The following is a 16,132-nucleotide window of genomic DNA, read 5'->3' on the forward strand; positions in this document are numbered from 1 at the left end:
TTGAACCACTTCACTAAGTTTACCTCTTAATATTTCCTCACTAATATCTATAAGGGCAGCAAGTTGCCAATCTCAATTACTATTCCATGCTCATTACATAGCTCAAAACCTAACACTGAGTAATTCCCAAAAAACACTGTTTAAATAAGTGAAAAGGAAAACAGCAATATCTCTCACTGCAATCTGTGGCAGGCCTGTGTTATCTCCAAAACCCAAGTAAATTATCCAGGACAAAAAGTGGCTATTCCCTGATTTATAGCATGACCATCTGTTCCAGTACCTCATTCTTTTCAACGAAGAATGTAAAGAGGAAGAGGAAATCTCACATACAAAACAAAAACTTCAACTTGGTTTTGGTAGAACTAGAGCCTAAATCTTCTGGGTTCTTGTTTAAAGTCTCACATAGGTTCCTACATGAGAGGGGCAGCTCTGTAATTCTAAGAGTAAGTCCCGGGGTAAGAATACCCAATTTAAACAGTTGTTCATAGGAAAACAAGGGGGAGAATCAGACACTAGTGAATTCACCGCCCAACATCCCTTTGATTTTTTCATTAATCTAGATTTAGAACGGCTAGTTTCATTACAATGTCAAGATATAAAACAGGCCGGGCACAGTGGCTCATGCCTGTAATCCCAGCACTTTGGGAAGCCGAGGCAGGTGGATCACCTGAGCTGAGGTCAGGAGTTTGAGACCAGCCTGGCCAACATGGTGAAACCCCATCTCTACTAAAAATACAAAAAAATTAGCCAGGCATGGTAGTGAGCGCCTGTAATTCCAGCTACTCGGGAGGATGAGGCAGGACAATCGCTTGAACCCAGAAGGCAGAGGTTGCAGTGAGCAAAGATTGCACCACTACACTCCAGCCTGGGCAACAAAAGCAAAACTCAGTCCCCTCCAAAAAAAAGATATAAAACATTTATTAAATAAACATTTTCAGAATGCAGTTATATGTTTTATACCGTGGCTTTCTCTGCTTTCCATATGCTTTACTCACACACTATGTGCTGGAAAACCACAGTGCTTTTATATTTGTTGATATTCTACACACTAAGAAACTGAGATTATACCCTATCCTTGGGGGATAAGCATCAAGTTGCCTTATTCCAAACCCAGCTAAGATTTTATTGCTTTTGATCAAAAATAACTATTAAAATCACAACATTTATATGATCATTTAAAAAAATCTCAGCACATTGTCCCAGATGTGTAAATGTGAATACATATTTGATGAGCTCCTACATTATTTAAAGCAATGAAGAAAAGCCCAAGTGTGATTTAATACCAGCTTCTAAGACATTCCATCATTACGCTGGAGATCTGACCTAAGGGCTGAGCATGATGGGAATATAGGAGTTTAAACTGGATCAGGGAGAATTTAGACCAGTTGAAAAACAAACTCTTCTGATTCACCACCAACTCCAAATCTCCCTTCTCTCCCCATTCCACATCTCCACTTCTTAGCCCCACTCACATGTCTATGGTAATAGGTGAAGTCCAACACACATCTTGTATTTTTTTTTCCCAAAAGGTACCATATTTCAGTGATCCGTGTTCTCATCCAAACTATCAAAATATCAGTATAAAAATGTAAAAATATAATTTGTATACAAATATAGAGTGAATATCAATGAGAGTACCAAAAGAATGACAAAGCTGATTCAAGGAGATTTGAAAAATGAAGATTTTTATAGTGGTCAGGGGGAAGGACTGCTGAGATAATACTGCTAAGTTAAATACAAAACTGGTTGAAATCCTTCAGAGCAATAAGACCAGACTCTTTGGTGTTGAGTTCTCTACAGAAAAGAAAAAATATTCATCTAAAATTATCCTATCTTATCAGGTTTACAGAATTATTTAATCAAGTGTACAAAGTTTATTCCCCTAAAGTTAAAAGATCTTCAAGAAAGCCCATTAGACAATGTTCTTTGCATTATATTAAAACTTCAGATAATCATTTTTTGCCTCAATTCTGTTAATGCTCTTTAGCCAAGTCCACCAGAAATACACCTATAGTGGAACAAGTTGGGTTTATTACTCGTTATAGCAAGGAAGAACCCTCACCATGGGGAAATGTTGGATGTTTCAGTTAGAGAATGTGAGAATGAATATATTATAGAATTTGGATTTTGAATTTTGTTTGAATGATTTGGGGTGGGGGGTTTAAGAGAGCCAGAGTTTGCCCTAGATTGGGTGCTGTTAGAAAAGAGAGACAGGCCGGGCGTGGTGGCTCACACCTATAATCCCAACACATTGGGAGGCCAAGTTGGGAGGATCTCCTGAGATCAGGGGTTCCAGATCAGCCTGGCCAACATGGTGAAACCCTGTGTCTCAAAAAAAATAATAATAATAAAATAAATTAGCTGGATGTGGTGGCAGGCGCCTGCAATCCCAGCTGCTCGGGAGCTGCGGCACGAGAATCACTTGAACCTGGGAGGCAGCAATTGCAGTGAGCCGAGATCATGCCATTGCACTCCAACCTGAGCAACAGAGTGAGACTCTGTTTTAAAAATAAATAAATAATAAAAGAGAGGCAATTCTATTATTGGGTAAATCAATAACTCTTATCTATAGGGAGGTACACTAGAACAAGGATAAAGTTGTGATTGACAAAGAAGCAGGAGTCACTCGTTGTGACTGAAAAAGGAGTATTTAGTATTTTATGAATGACACCATGACCTTGTTTTTGTCTGTGCTTTTAAAAATATGGTCTTGTTTTGTCTCATTTTATCAGAGTAACCTTGATCTCATTTATCTCTGAGTAACCTTGTCTGAGGTTGATATTCTGTGAGATTGTTTATATCTCATAGGTGAATAACATGGCCTAGCTGTGAATGGCTAGCCAGCTTATCACTATCAGGGGCTGCTTTTTTCCCCTCATTTCTAACTTTCAGATAATTTTTCTTAGCACAATAAATACATAAATAAATGAACAACCTGCCAGAATAAATTTGATTTACAAAAATAAAATGGAATGCCACTCACTCAGGAATTATGAAGCAAAGTTCAAACCTGCTCACATTTCATCATCATCATCGTCATCATCATCATCATCAAGAATAATTGCCTTCTCAATCCTACCACTTCAAGGAAAACGTCCCCTGACGATAGCAAGAACAGTAAGCACGGTGAAGATCAGGCTGTGATCTTGCCAAAACATGTTGCTAAAAAACCTTTGCTAAAAGCTTCAGCCAACTGATACAGAATTCTCTCATCTTTCAGAAAGGACGTCCCTTTTTAAGTAGCAATACTGATAGCTAGACAACGTGTGTCAGTGACACTCTAAGTTTATTTAAAGGGACATATTCAGTGCCCAGGAAGTCCTAATCACTAAGTCTTAATGCTTCTCTCTTATTTACCAGCTACGTGGCACCCTGATGAGAGTGTTCACTATTCAGACCCTTCCCAGACTCCTCCCCACTTCTCCCTCCAGATGGAGTGCCCTGCACCTCCTGTTGCTCACCCCCTGACTGCAGTTTACTTCATTCATATATGGCTTTCTCAGGATCATGTCATTAACACCGGGAGGGCAACTGGGAACTGATTATGCACAGCATAATTTTTGTCATCTTCTTTGAGATTTTTGTGTCATTTGGCTGGCTTCCAACTATGTTCTTGACTTACGGCACCAATCCAATTTTGTTTCTATTAGTCAACTATGCAAATTTTTCCTTATCTTGCTCAGACTTTTATGAACTCGCTGAGAGTTTTAAGAACCAGGATTGTATAGATAATACAAAACAATCAGAATTCAAACTCATCTCCTTCTGACTCACAAACCACATTTTCTTTACCTTTATAGGAAAGCTTGCTTGATTTTTTTTTAAAGGAACATCATTACTTTTCTCCCTTTCAAACAAGACTTTATAGCAAAACTAAAGAAAATGTTTTTATACATAGTGGTTAGAAAGTATGTGACATTCTCCAGAAGTGGATGGCTAATGGAAGATAAAAATGAACTTAAGTGTAAGGTCTATCACACATTTGGCTTCCACTACTTCCATGAGTAATTCTCATCCTCCCAGAAACATCAAATTTAGAGCATCTCGTGAGCTGTGATCCAGTTGGGCATCCTTTGTGTTCCTTAAACAGCAGGACACAGAGCAAAAAAGGGAAGTGTCATGAGGGATCTGGGGAAGCATCTTCCAAGTGTGCATTGGGATTGAAAATAAACAGCTTTCTTAGCCATGACGTGCTCTCTCCTTTGCTGAATGTATTTTCCCTTGAGTTGCGTGCTACCTTTTGTGAAAGGAAAATATATCTTGTGGCCCCCAAATTACTAAGCTAAAGGGAAAAGTCAAGCTGGGAACTGTTTAGGGCAAACCTGCCTCCCATTCTATTCAAAGTCACCTCTCTGCTCACTGAGACAAATGCATATCTGATTGCCTCATTTGGAGAGGTGAATCAGAAACTCAAAATAATGCAACCATTTGTCTTTTATCTACCTGTGACCTGGAAGCCCCATCACCCCTTCAAGTTCTCCAGACTTCGCCTCAGTTGTCCCACGTTTCCAGACGGAACCAATGTACATCTTACATATATTGATTGATGTCTCATGTCTCCCTAAAATGTATAAAACCAAGCTGTGTCCCAACCACCTTGGGCGCATTTCGTCAGGGCCTCCTGAGGCTGTGTCATGGGTGTGTGCTCAACCTTGGCAAAATAAACTTTCTAAATTAACTGGGTCCTGTCTCAGATTTTCAGGGTTCACACTTCCATACATTCCTCTTGCCACGAAAGCTGAGTTTGAGGGATCCAGCATCTCCCATCACTTTAGCTGCTGTGTAGCCATCCGGCCCCAGTGTTCCATGACAGACTCTGGAATTAGATTAGACATGAGGGTACTTTTGTGGAGACCTAGCAAAAAACTTATTTCAAAGTAAGGATGGGAGGTTATGTTTTCCAAAGAAGACAATATCAATAGGCAGCAGGTAACAAGTGGTCAAAAAAAAAAAAAGAGATCATATACACAGACACATACACAAATACACACACGTATACATATCCCATGTAAGATACTCTTCTTACACTGTGACATTGACACTTGAGGGCAGGGTCTATGTGTGTCCCCCCACCCCACCTTGAATCTGGGCTGACTTCTGTGATTGCCTTGACCCACAAAATGTGGCAGAAGTGCTGCTGCATGACTTTTCAGGCTACGTCATAAAAAGCAATATGGCTTCTACCTGGCTCTCTCGCTCTCGCTCTCTCAGTGCTTGCTTTCCCTTGCGGTCCAGCCACCATGTTTTAAGGAAACACTGGCCACACAGAGTAGCCAAACGTAGGTGTTCCAGCTGATAGATCCACTAAGGCCCCATCAAGTGCCAGACAGGTGAGTGCTTGAGACTCCAAATGATTCTAGCCTCCTGTCTTCAAGTATTTCAGTCAAGGCCCTATACGATGTGAGCCAGAGGCAAGCCATCTCTATTGTACCCTATCTGAATTCCTCACTCACGGAAACCATGAGAGGTGATGAACAACTCATTTTAACTCATCAAGGTATGAGATGATTCATCATACAGCAATAGAGAATATGGACGGATTTAGCAGTTGAGACCTCTGAAAAATAGAGACATGGCAACCTTGAAACATGACCCTAGATATATATACTTCTCCTGTCCCCTCTTTCCACTGCTTCTTCACACCTATCAAATAACTTTTTTCAGGTTAATTATGGAAGCACTAGTGTAAAGTTGAAAATCACCATTGCACTTGTTACAACAGGAATCTCAAGAAATACACTCACTCCTACGTGACTACTGTACATGTGCTGTCTAACTTACATGGTTATCATATTATGTTCTTGAATTCATCCATTGTACAGTGGAAAATACTGAAAATATAAATATTTCTATCTCTGAGGTACAAAAGAAAAAGTTTGATTTGAGATTCAGTGAACTAAATTAATATCCTGGGTCCCTTAAAAATTTGTTTTGGTATCACTAATTTATTTTTCTCCCCACAGGGAGCTCAGTAAGCAGCGAGGCAGTCAGCCAGAACTTGAGAGTATCCAAGGGGCCCTCTACTCCAAAGGAAGCAATTACCAGACATTCTTCATAAAAGGTCTCATTTAATACCTGCATAAACCCTCCAATATGGTGAAACCCCATCTCTACTAAAAATATAAAAATTAGCTGGGTGTGGTGGCGGGCACCTGTAATCTCAGCTACTAGGGTGGCTGAGGCAGGAGAATCGCTTGAACCCGGGAGGCGAGACCATTGCACTCCAGCCTGAGTGACAGAGCAAGACTTCATCTACAAAAACAAAAAACAAACAAACAAAAAAACCTCGCTCACACCTGTAATCCCAGCACTTTAGGAGGCCAAAGAGGGTGGAACACTTGAGGTCAGGAGTTTGAGACCAGGCTGGCCAACATGGTGAAACACCGCCTCTATTAAAAAATAAAAATAAATAAATAAACCCGTGCAGCTAATCTACAGTCCCATTTTAAGGATGAGAAAACTGAAGCACAGAAAAGTAAGATAGAGGCTCTTCCTAAACACATTTAGATTATATAAATTAAACCATGCACATTCAGTCAAAATATAAAACAGGATACTTATTTTTAACAGTGCCCATGGCTCTAGCCATTTCACTCAATAAGCACTTGCTTCAGATATCCTGTGAAAAGACTTCACCTTAAAGTGTGTGGCCACACGGGTATACTTGAGTCTGTACTGAAAGAATGTGAAGATTGCAACACTGCACTCCAGCTTGGGTGACAGAATGAGACCCTGTTTTAACAACAACAAAAAAAGCGTGAAGAGCTTTCAGAGTTTTAGAGGTGATTTTGCCTGTACACACTAACTTAAGAAGCTGACCCTCATCACCATCAGGCCCCCACCCGGCAATAATTTGTCCAAGGTCATAAAACTAGCAGGTGGTACAGCAGAAGTTCAAAGTCAAGTCTATCTGACTCAGAATCATGTTTAATCCTCTCTGCTATATATATTTTTTCTACAAATCCACCATGTTTATTTGACAGATTTGCACGTCTGCTTGCTTGGGGAAATCTCACCTATATACATCATAATCAGGGTCACAACAACCAAGAGGAATGGAGTCCATGTAGAGCACTGGTGGAGAGCATTGGCTCTGGACCCAGCTGCCTGGGCTTTAACCCCAGCTCTGCAACTTACCTGCCATGTGAATGTTTTCGTTAGCTATTGTTGTATAATAAACCACCCTAAAAGTTTGTGATTTAAAGCAATAATTTACTATTAGCTCTCATGGTTCTGTGGGCACACTGGGTTTAGCTGGGTGGTTCTGGAGTCTCTCGTGCAGTTGCAGTCAGTATTTAACTGGTGCTACAGTAATATAAGGCTCAACTGGGCTTATGACATCACTTGTGCTGTATTTCCTTGGTCAAAGTTTAGTCACAGGGCCAGCAGAGATTCCAGGAAGACTCAACTTTGGAGACAAGCTACCATAGCAACCTTGGGCAATTCATTTATATTGTGCTTCATTTTTTTCCCTCCAAAAAAATGAAGGTGATAAAAGTGCCTATTTGATAAGATGTTATAAGAATCAAATGAGGTAGTACATGGAATGTGGTAAGAAGAGAACCTGGCACATAACAGATGCTCAATGAAAGTTACTACTATTACTCTTTCTGAGGCATACCATGCTAGATACTGGGGCGCTATTGCTTTATACCCCCTAAATGCCTTAATCACACTACACTACACACTACACTACTACTAATGCCTTAACCACACTACTTAATCATCATTAGGGCCATGATTATTCTTGAAGACAGCCTCATAAGGGCTTCCTGGGGACTCTTTGTCATGCTCCATAAGGCTCATTTCCACCAAGAACAAATGCAGAAGCACTCTCATTTGTTGTCAACACAGATTCCAATGATTGATGATGCCTCAAAGCCAGCCACACTCAACAGGCTCTCAGGCAAAAAGATCAAGGAGTGTACTCACCAACCCTCTTCAAAATTTTTAATAAGTTTATCAGTAAACTGTCTCCCATCCACTCCAGAACCCGAGCCAAGGATTTCTGCTCTTCCAGGGGTCAGCTTCAAAGACGCAGGGGCGAGAAGGGAATTCGTGGTTCCCAGTACTCTTGGCACCAGGCTTGAGAACTTTCTGCACAACAGGCCAGTTGACTGAGGTTCCTTTTGAAAAAAATGAGAGAAGTTACCCCAGGCTTTGCTCAACTGAAAGCCTACATGGTTCTCAGGAAATCCTTGGCCTGGCCAATCCACAGCCACATTCTCTATCACAGCACAAAGATTTTTACCAGGATCTTGCCACATGGAACTGCTGCATCAAAGCCTAAATATAGGTATTAGGGAGATCAGACCCACATGGTAGAAATATGGTAGCATCATTTAATGCAGGCTTACTTATTTGCCTTTTAGATTTCTACAGAATCCTCAGGAAGTAGCTGGGCATTGCTGTTCATTCTAAACAGAGTCACCAGTTCATCTACTTAAGTTCTCAAAGATCCTTGGCAAAGCTGGCCGTTTTAGTGAGTGGCACAGACTGATACTTGTGTGGTGGAAGTTGAGACACATCAGAGTGAACCTTCTGCTCAAAACTGCTTCACTTCCATTTGCCATACTTCATGAAACACCATCAAATGTTTTTTTGTTTTTTGTGACCATGTCCTCTTGAAAAAGAAAAATTTCCTAGATTTAGTTACTTCCTTGTGGAAATATATTAGTCATAGCTCTGGCTAATATTTAAGGGGGAAAAAAACAAAGGAGAGAGAGGAGGAAGATATATGTGTTGACTAGTATTTGAGCAAACAGTAGGCAAGGCAAGAGTAGAACTAGACCCAAGAGAAAACCAGAAGGAAGCAGGGGCTTGATATCTGTAGGACTCTCTACCTCTCAAATGTGTCTGCTTTTTCTTTTTATCTTGAGCAAAATCTCTACAATTGGAGACGTGTACACTAGCAACTATAGGCTTATATTCTTTTACACTTGAAAATCAGAGACAAGAGAGAAAATTGTGTCCCTGATAGTTCAAAAAATATATATCCTAGGGGAGAACTGTGACTGGCCAGTCTTGATTAGGTGGTATTTATCTATGAACCAATCACTGTGGCCAGGAAACAGAGTCATAAAATAAAAACTCCCATCTATTTCCTGTAATGGGAGATACAAAAGCGGTTCGTTAAAGGGAAAACAGTAAGATTCCCAAAAGAAGGAAGAGATCCTTGGTGCTCACACACCAAAAAAACTCATTAATAGCAACAACAGGTATTGTCAGCCTACAACACTTAAAAGTATATTATTTTATCAAATCAATTTTCTAGGTGAGACTAACGGACTGAGGAAAAAGAATGTTGCTGGTAGGAATGGGAATTGAAAAAATAAAGAAGAGGGGTCATTTTGACTGGGACTTGTATATATTTACAACTATATTTACAATTAATTGTAATTTGTGTTACTGTTTCATATAAATACATTTGCAAATATACATGTGACATAATTTTGCCTAGAAAATATATTTACTGCAGTCATGGCCTCTAAGAAGACAAAAATTAGATAAGGGGGCAGCAAGTCTCTGTATAAAGGATGCTAGGAGTGGTATCAGTTTGGGGTGGGGTAGTAGCCAAGAAAAAGAGTAAGAAAGGCAAAGTGAGAGACTTCAAAAAATAAACTTTACAGCCCTCAGAGTTTTGCCTTCAACACACAGCCTGTGGTTTTGATTTTTGGATCTGTCTGCTTTCCTCATTCAGTAGCTTCAGTTTTTCTCCAAGATAAACAATCTAGGTACATTCTGCCATGCCTCAGATGGAATCACAACATCTATTATGTGCCTGGATTTGCAAATCTAGTGCTACCTCCTTCCATTTCCAGCCTGAAAATAGTGGACAACTCCAGCAGGTCTCTGATGCAAATCCAAGTGCCTATAACAATTGCATGCCTGATGCAGAAAATTTCATTGAATGAGAAGAATCAGGACTGAAAAGAATCACATTTACTGGCTACATTTTGCCAAATGAGATTTCAAACTTTCTTTTTTGTTTGTTTTCATTGATACATAATTATTGTACATTTTTATGGGGTACATGTGATATTTTGACATATGCATACAATGTGTAATGACCAAATCAGGGTAACTGAGATATCCATCACCTCAAACATTTATCATCTCTTTGTGTTGAGAAGATTCCAAATCAAAGTTAATTCTTTGGTGCGTTTATTGAGAACAGCTACTCAGCTATTTTCCCTTTTACCTTCTCAGATATATTGTGTCCAGACCTTGCCCTTATTTATATACCATTTCCTCCTTCCATACACACACACACACACACACACAAACACGAGTCTCTGTCATTCCACCTTCAATCTTGTATTTCAAACTTTCTTTAAAATTTCTTAAAATTCTCAACCTCCTACATGAGGTAAGACCATGTAAACCTTGCTACTTGACTTTAGAACAGAGCGTTAAAATAGTTATTTGCTCTTTGCAGAGAGCATTGATATTCACCTGTACAACTGCTATATCAAAGGAGAAGCTCCAAGATAATTCAGCTCTCTTCCCCTGTGAAATGGGAGTAATCGTAGTCATGTAGTCATAGTGACAGGTGCAATGGTTCTGGGTCTGCAACACAGGAAAAGATCACTAAATAATGGTAATATCCACCTCACTCCTGTCAAAGAATGAACTTCAGTATTGGGGCCTTCTCAAAACATCTCCCAACTCTGTAGAAATCACAGTGTCTAATTGGCCAGGTCAAAATGGCCAAATCAAAATCTCCCCCTCTTTTCTTTTTTTGAGACAGAGTCTAGCTCTGTAGCCCAGGCTAGAGTGCAGTGGTGCAATCTCGGCTCACTGCTAGCTCCACCTCCCGGGTTCACGCCATTCTCCTGCCTCAGCCTCCCGAGTAGTTGGGACTACAGGCGCCCGCCACCACGCCCGGCTAATTTTTTGTATTTTTAGTAGAGACGAGGTTTCACCGTGTTAGCCAGGATGGTCTCGATCTCCTGACCTCGTGATCCGCCTGCCTCGGCCTCCCAAAGTGCTGGGATTACAAGCGTGAGCCATCGCGCCCGGCCAATCTCCCCCCCTCTTAATTCATTACCTTCTATCTCGCAGGAAGTTTTCCTCTTCCTCTATTTAAAGGTAATACTGTGCCCTAGAGACAGCTCCTTCACCCCCCTCAGTATTCTTCTCCCCACCTTCTCACCTCCTTCTAATCTTTTTTCCACCCACATCCTCCTTTCTTCTCCCTTTAGCCTCTCCCTCCGCAGGCACCTTCCTCTCACTTCCAAAACACACACTTGGGTCTCCAACTGATCTCCCTTGAAGAGGAAGTTGTATCTTTCTGCGCGAGGAACTGCCTCCTGCTTAGTAGGGCCAACATTTAAGGGGGAAGTGAGGTGAGTGTTGCGAGGGTCGTGGTTAGTTGGGGAAGGAGCTGAAGGACAGGAGAGGGAAAGGAGAGAGAGCATGAGAGTGTGGGAGCATGTTTTCTGAGGACTTAGTAAAAAGCATTCTGTTTACCGAGTCCTCAGAACACAAACGTAGCACAAGTTAAATCTTGCTGACCACAGTGCTGACACAGACCATGTCAGACATAGGAGGAGGACCATACAGCTGAGAAGAGTATAGAATAACACACAGGGAAAAACTAAAACATTGACAGGCTGCAGGATGCAGAAATATTACTGAAATTCAGTGGAGGAAAAAAACTTGGTTATAACAAATATGACCCATATAGACTTTCCAGGTTGATACTAGCAGAAGTATAGGTACAAAGCAATAGTTGTGGTCAAGTCAGGGAGATGGTGCTAGATTCCTGGGCTCTCATAATGAAGAGATTTTTCCACATTTTTTGGTGAAAAAAACAAGAAACCTGATATTACTAAAAGGTCACCTTCTTTCCACTCTCTAACAGGTGAAATTAAACTGATAGCTTTGTAAATTAAATTACATTTTCTCAATGAATGGCAACTACCAACAGGCTGTCTTTTATGATTGATCTTCCATTGGCTACTTGTCCTTAATGCTTTAGTTTTCAGTTTGTCTTCCCCTGTCAAATGGCTAATGAACCATAAACAAGCACTTAAGACAAGCACTGATTTTGTATTACTAAGAATTATTTTCTAATTCAGATTATGAACCCTCTTCCTTCTTTTATTTCTATAATAGTCTGACTTGTTTAGATTTTCTTAAGGAGAGGTGAATACAACAAAAGTATCTAGAAAAAAATTTCTTCCTACATCATGTTTCTAAATCCCATCGAAAGTGTTTTCTCTCTTTCCAAAGCCTCAGGATAAAAGAAAAGCCTATTCTTCCCTAGCCTTGTCATTCACTCTGAACGAGCAGCCTGACCTAGTTCTCCCATTTAGTTTCACAAAGTCCTGCGAGTACCAGCAGGAAAAAAAAAAAAGACCAAAACCCATTTACTAGTCGCTCAACATCAAACATATATACACAGACAGATTTTAAAATGAACAACTTAGGGAGTATGAATTGAATTTTAATATAATCATGGATTCAGATTTGCAAGAATATGACTTACTTTTCTCATAATTGAACTTTGTTAGTTTCCAAGCTCCCACTTTCACCAATGGGAAGAAAATTGAATCTTGTAATTCAAAGTAAATTAAATCATCCTGCTTTAAAACTCAAAATGGCTCTTTCTGGCCTAAATATTCAGTTAATTTTCAGGAGGCTGAGGTGGGAGAATCGCTTGAACTTGGGAGGCAGAGGTTGCAGTGAGCCCAGATCGCGCCACTGCACTCCAGCCTGGGCAACAAGAGCAAAACCCCGTCTCAAAAAAAAAAAAAAAAAAAAAAAAAAAATTCAGTTAATTTAAGATTTCCAAACTCCTCCTTAGTTTTCTCTTCTCTTTCCCAGTGACTGAATTAAAGTACGGGAGGTAGCAAGGGGTTTTGTATCATCCTGGCAACATGGGAGAGGCACTTGCGGCATGTTGAACTCTGTGCTGGCCTCTGTTCAGCTGGCCCTGGTTTACAGTAGCTGTTTCTACTGCACCTGCCACCCATTGTCTGCAGTCCTCCCTATAAAGACCTCACAGGTTTCTCCGTGTCCATCCCATCCCCACTATGAGTTCTCTCTCTCTCTCTCTCTCCATCCACTATGAGTTTTCTCTCTCTCTCTCTCCCTGCTTCTCCTGTACTCCCTCACTTCCCCCCCACCCCCAACACTCATTTGCCCTTCTCAGCCTATCTCTTCACTCACACCACCTGGGACTATGAAACATCATCAAGGCTCAGACTGGGTGCAGTGGCTCACGCCTATAATCCCAGCACTTTGGTAGGCCGAGGCAGGCAGATCAGTTGAGGTAAGGAGTTTCAGACCAGCCTGGCCAACGTGGCGAAACCCAGTCTCTACTAAAAATACCAAAAAAAAATTAGCTGGGCGTGGTGGTGTGCATCTGTAGTCCCAGCTACTCAGGAGGCTGAGTCAGGAGAATCACTTGAACCTGGGAGGTGGAGGTCGCAGTGAGCCGAGATCGCACCACTGCACTCCAGCCTAGGCAACAAAGCGAGACTGTCTCAAGCAAACAAACAAACAAACAAACAAACAAACAAAAAATGGAAACATCATTAAGGCTCAAGGTGAAGTGGACAGTGGTGCTAGTTTTCTCTCTGCTACTCCTGAGTGGTCACCATTTCTACTTAACCATGGCAACACTACCACCACTACTACCACATTGAATATGGCCTGCTATGAGTCTATCTCTTCTCAGAGTTTCCAGCAGGACATGGGACTTCGATCTTCTAATGTTCTCTAATCCTCAAGTCTATCAGAGTCTTCAAAGGGATCCATGTCCATTACTCAGTCTCTGACACCCCTCTATCTAGCCTTTCTCTCTCCTCCCTTCAGGTGGTCAACTGTTTCTCCCAGTTCATCAAGGAGCAAAAGACAAGATTTTACCCCATCATGCATTCTTTTGAATCTACTGTTTTCTGCATAAGCTCTACACTTTATTTCCCTCAAGGTTTTGGCTCTTGATAGACAAAGCCAAGTTCTAGGTCTTCAAACCCATTTTCTTTCTTCATTCTCTTGCCTTTTAAAGATTTCTTCACTACTAAGAATTTTGAAACATCAATTCAGCAGTTCAACTGACTTATTACTCTTGGTTGCTGTCTGCCCCCCACATCTCAAGAAATAGATACAGAAAACTACCACTATTAGCTGTGGAAATGGAGAGTGGAAACCTAAGTTTATGTTTCTATGATTTGCAATATCTTTATATTGCAGCTTGTGATTAATTCCATCAACAAAAGTTTTAGGGGCAGGCACTCTTCCAGGTTTGGGGCATTCCCTGCACTTATAAAGTCTGCACTCTAGTTGGGCGACATAGAATAGACAATTAAAGGAATGAATAAAGAAGATAATTTCTAATTATTGTAAGTGCTATGAAGTAAATGAAAGGGTGATATGATAAAGAGTGATTGGAGAAAAAAGATCAAGTAAGTTTCCTCTAAGTCGGTGCAATCTGAGCTGAGATCTGAAGAATAAAAGGAGTCAGACACGTGAGCAGCCAAGACAGGTCTTTCTAGGAAGAGAAAGGAGCAAGTGCAAAGGTCCAGTGGCAGGAAAGAGCTCAGTATGTTCAATGAACTGAGAGAAGGCAATGAAACTAGAACATGGTAGACATAAAGGAGAAATTAGAAAAAAGACAAAACCAAATTATGTGGATTTCAGTAGGCCATAGTAAACAGCCCAAGTGTTTACTAAACAAAATGAAAAGTCACTGGCGAGTCTTGATTAGAGAAATTGTACGTGTTGTATGCTTTTGAAAAGACTGCTCTGTTTGAAGAATGGCCAGTTGGGGAAGTAAGAGTAAAATATGATAGCTTTCACTAAAGTGCATCAAGAAGATTTAAAGAAGTAGATGGGTTCACGATCTATTTAAGAAATATCCTCAAGGAGAATTCCTCAGCTCTCTGTGAAAGAGGGTGGAAATGTCAAATTCCCAAATTGTATAATTGTGTCTTTATCATCCCATCATTAATACCAACATTTCAGTGCCAAGAGCTAACTCACAAATGCTCTTAACATCATACTTGGTTGATCATGAAAGGCTCTTAACCAACTGCCTAAGGAACTTTTGCATGCTAAGATAAGGCCAGGCATCTCATCGGCAAGCGCTTTCTCTCTAATCTCTTCTGACCCAAAGAACGGATAATAGTTCTCATACCAAACTGCATAAGAATGCTTATGTTCCAAGTGCCCAAAAACAATTTAATGGTTACTAGTTATGTTCCATCTTAACCTAATGTTAATTTTTTTTTTGTAAAATCCATATTGATTTCCCCCTTTAGCTTTTGGTCACCAGATAAATCACCCAGAGTTTCAGACTAATTGTTCTGATTATAGCTGGTCATTCTACACCTGAAATAATAGCTACATTGAGAAGAGATAACAACCAAAACTCCTTCAAAGTTCAAAGTAAACCGTGTGTGGTGTTCGTGAGTTATACATTTCTAAAATAGGCAAGGGTTAGGGATGTTACTAGAAAAATTAGGGATCTCCTGTTGTCTTATGTCCTCACCAGCATTCTGAACATTAGAAAGCACACACAAAATCTGGCAGTTAAATGCAATTCAAAGCACTGACAGCATTAATTGGCCAGGTTAGTGCTTGAGAACCTCATAGGATAGGATTGGCCTGGCCTGGAAAATGCAGCATGAATGTGAGAACTAATTCTTCTATTTTCTAAATTTCTGAAGCTGTAGCTGAAAGACATTTCTGGAGAGAACATGGCTGCAAATAAAACTCAATCTACCTCCACATTCACCTGCACAAACTTAGTTGGTATCCAAATAAGGAAAAAGGAGGATTGAGAGATGGGCTCATATAATGTTTTTCAGTACCTTTCCTCTATGCCGCAGTAAAAATGATCTCTAATGAATACCCCAAAACTGTACAACTGTGTTAGCTACTCTTCCTGCCTTTACGAGGGATAGGTAAGTAACTAAACAGGGAAATATTCAGTCTAATATAATCTTCTCATAAAAGGGAGAGTAAAGGTCTCCCACCCATCTTGGGACTATACTCTTGTGTAGTCGACTACAAGAAAATAAACAGTAGCTTTTAGAAGTACAGTATTAACCTGAATAAAAAAAAATTTCCTTCACCTTTGATCTTGTGTATAAGCTGAACTTCACTGGAGTTTGACCCCAGA

The 16,132-nt window shown here is 40.4% G+C and overlaps 1 long non-coding RNA gene across 1 annotated transcript in view; it reads right to left on the reverse strand.

Moving 5' to 3' along the window:
* Positions 1 to 7,938: 7,938 nt before the first annotated feature.
* LOC105369477 (uncharacterized) overlaps positions 7,939 to 16,132 on the reverse strand; it is a 74,968-nt gene continuing 66,774 nt past the window's right edge. Inside the window, exons 2-3 of the long non-coding RNA XR_001748363.2 lie at positions 10,456 to 10,569; positions 7,939 to 8,126 (exon numbers count right to left, since the gene is read on the reverse strand). This is a non-coding gene — a long non-coding RNA (uncharacterized LOC105369477). The remainder of the gene's footprint in view (positions 8,127 to 10,455; positions 10,570 to 16,132) is intronic.

This window comes from Homo sapiens, chromosome 11 (assembly GCF_000001405.40).
Source record: "Homo sapiens chromosome 11, GRCh38.p14 Primary Assembly".
Lineage (NCBI taxonomy): Eukaryota > Metazoa > Chordata > Mammalia > Primates > Hominidae > Homo > Homo sapiens.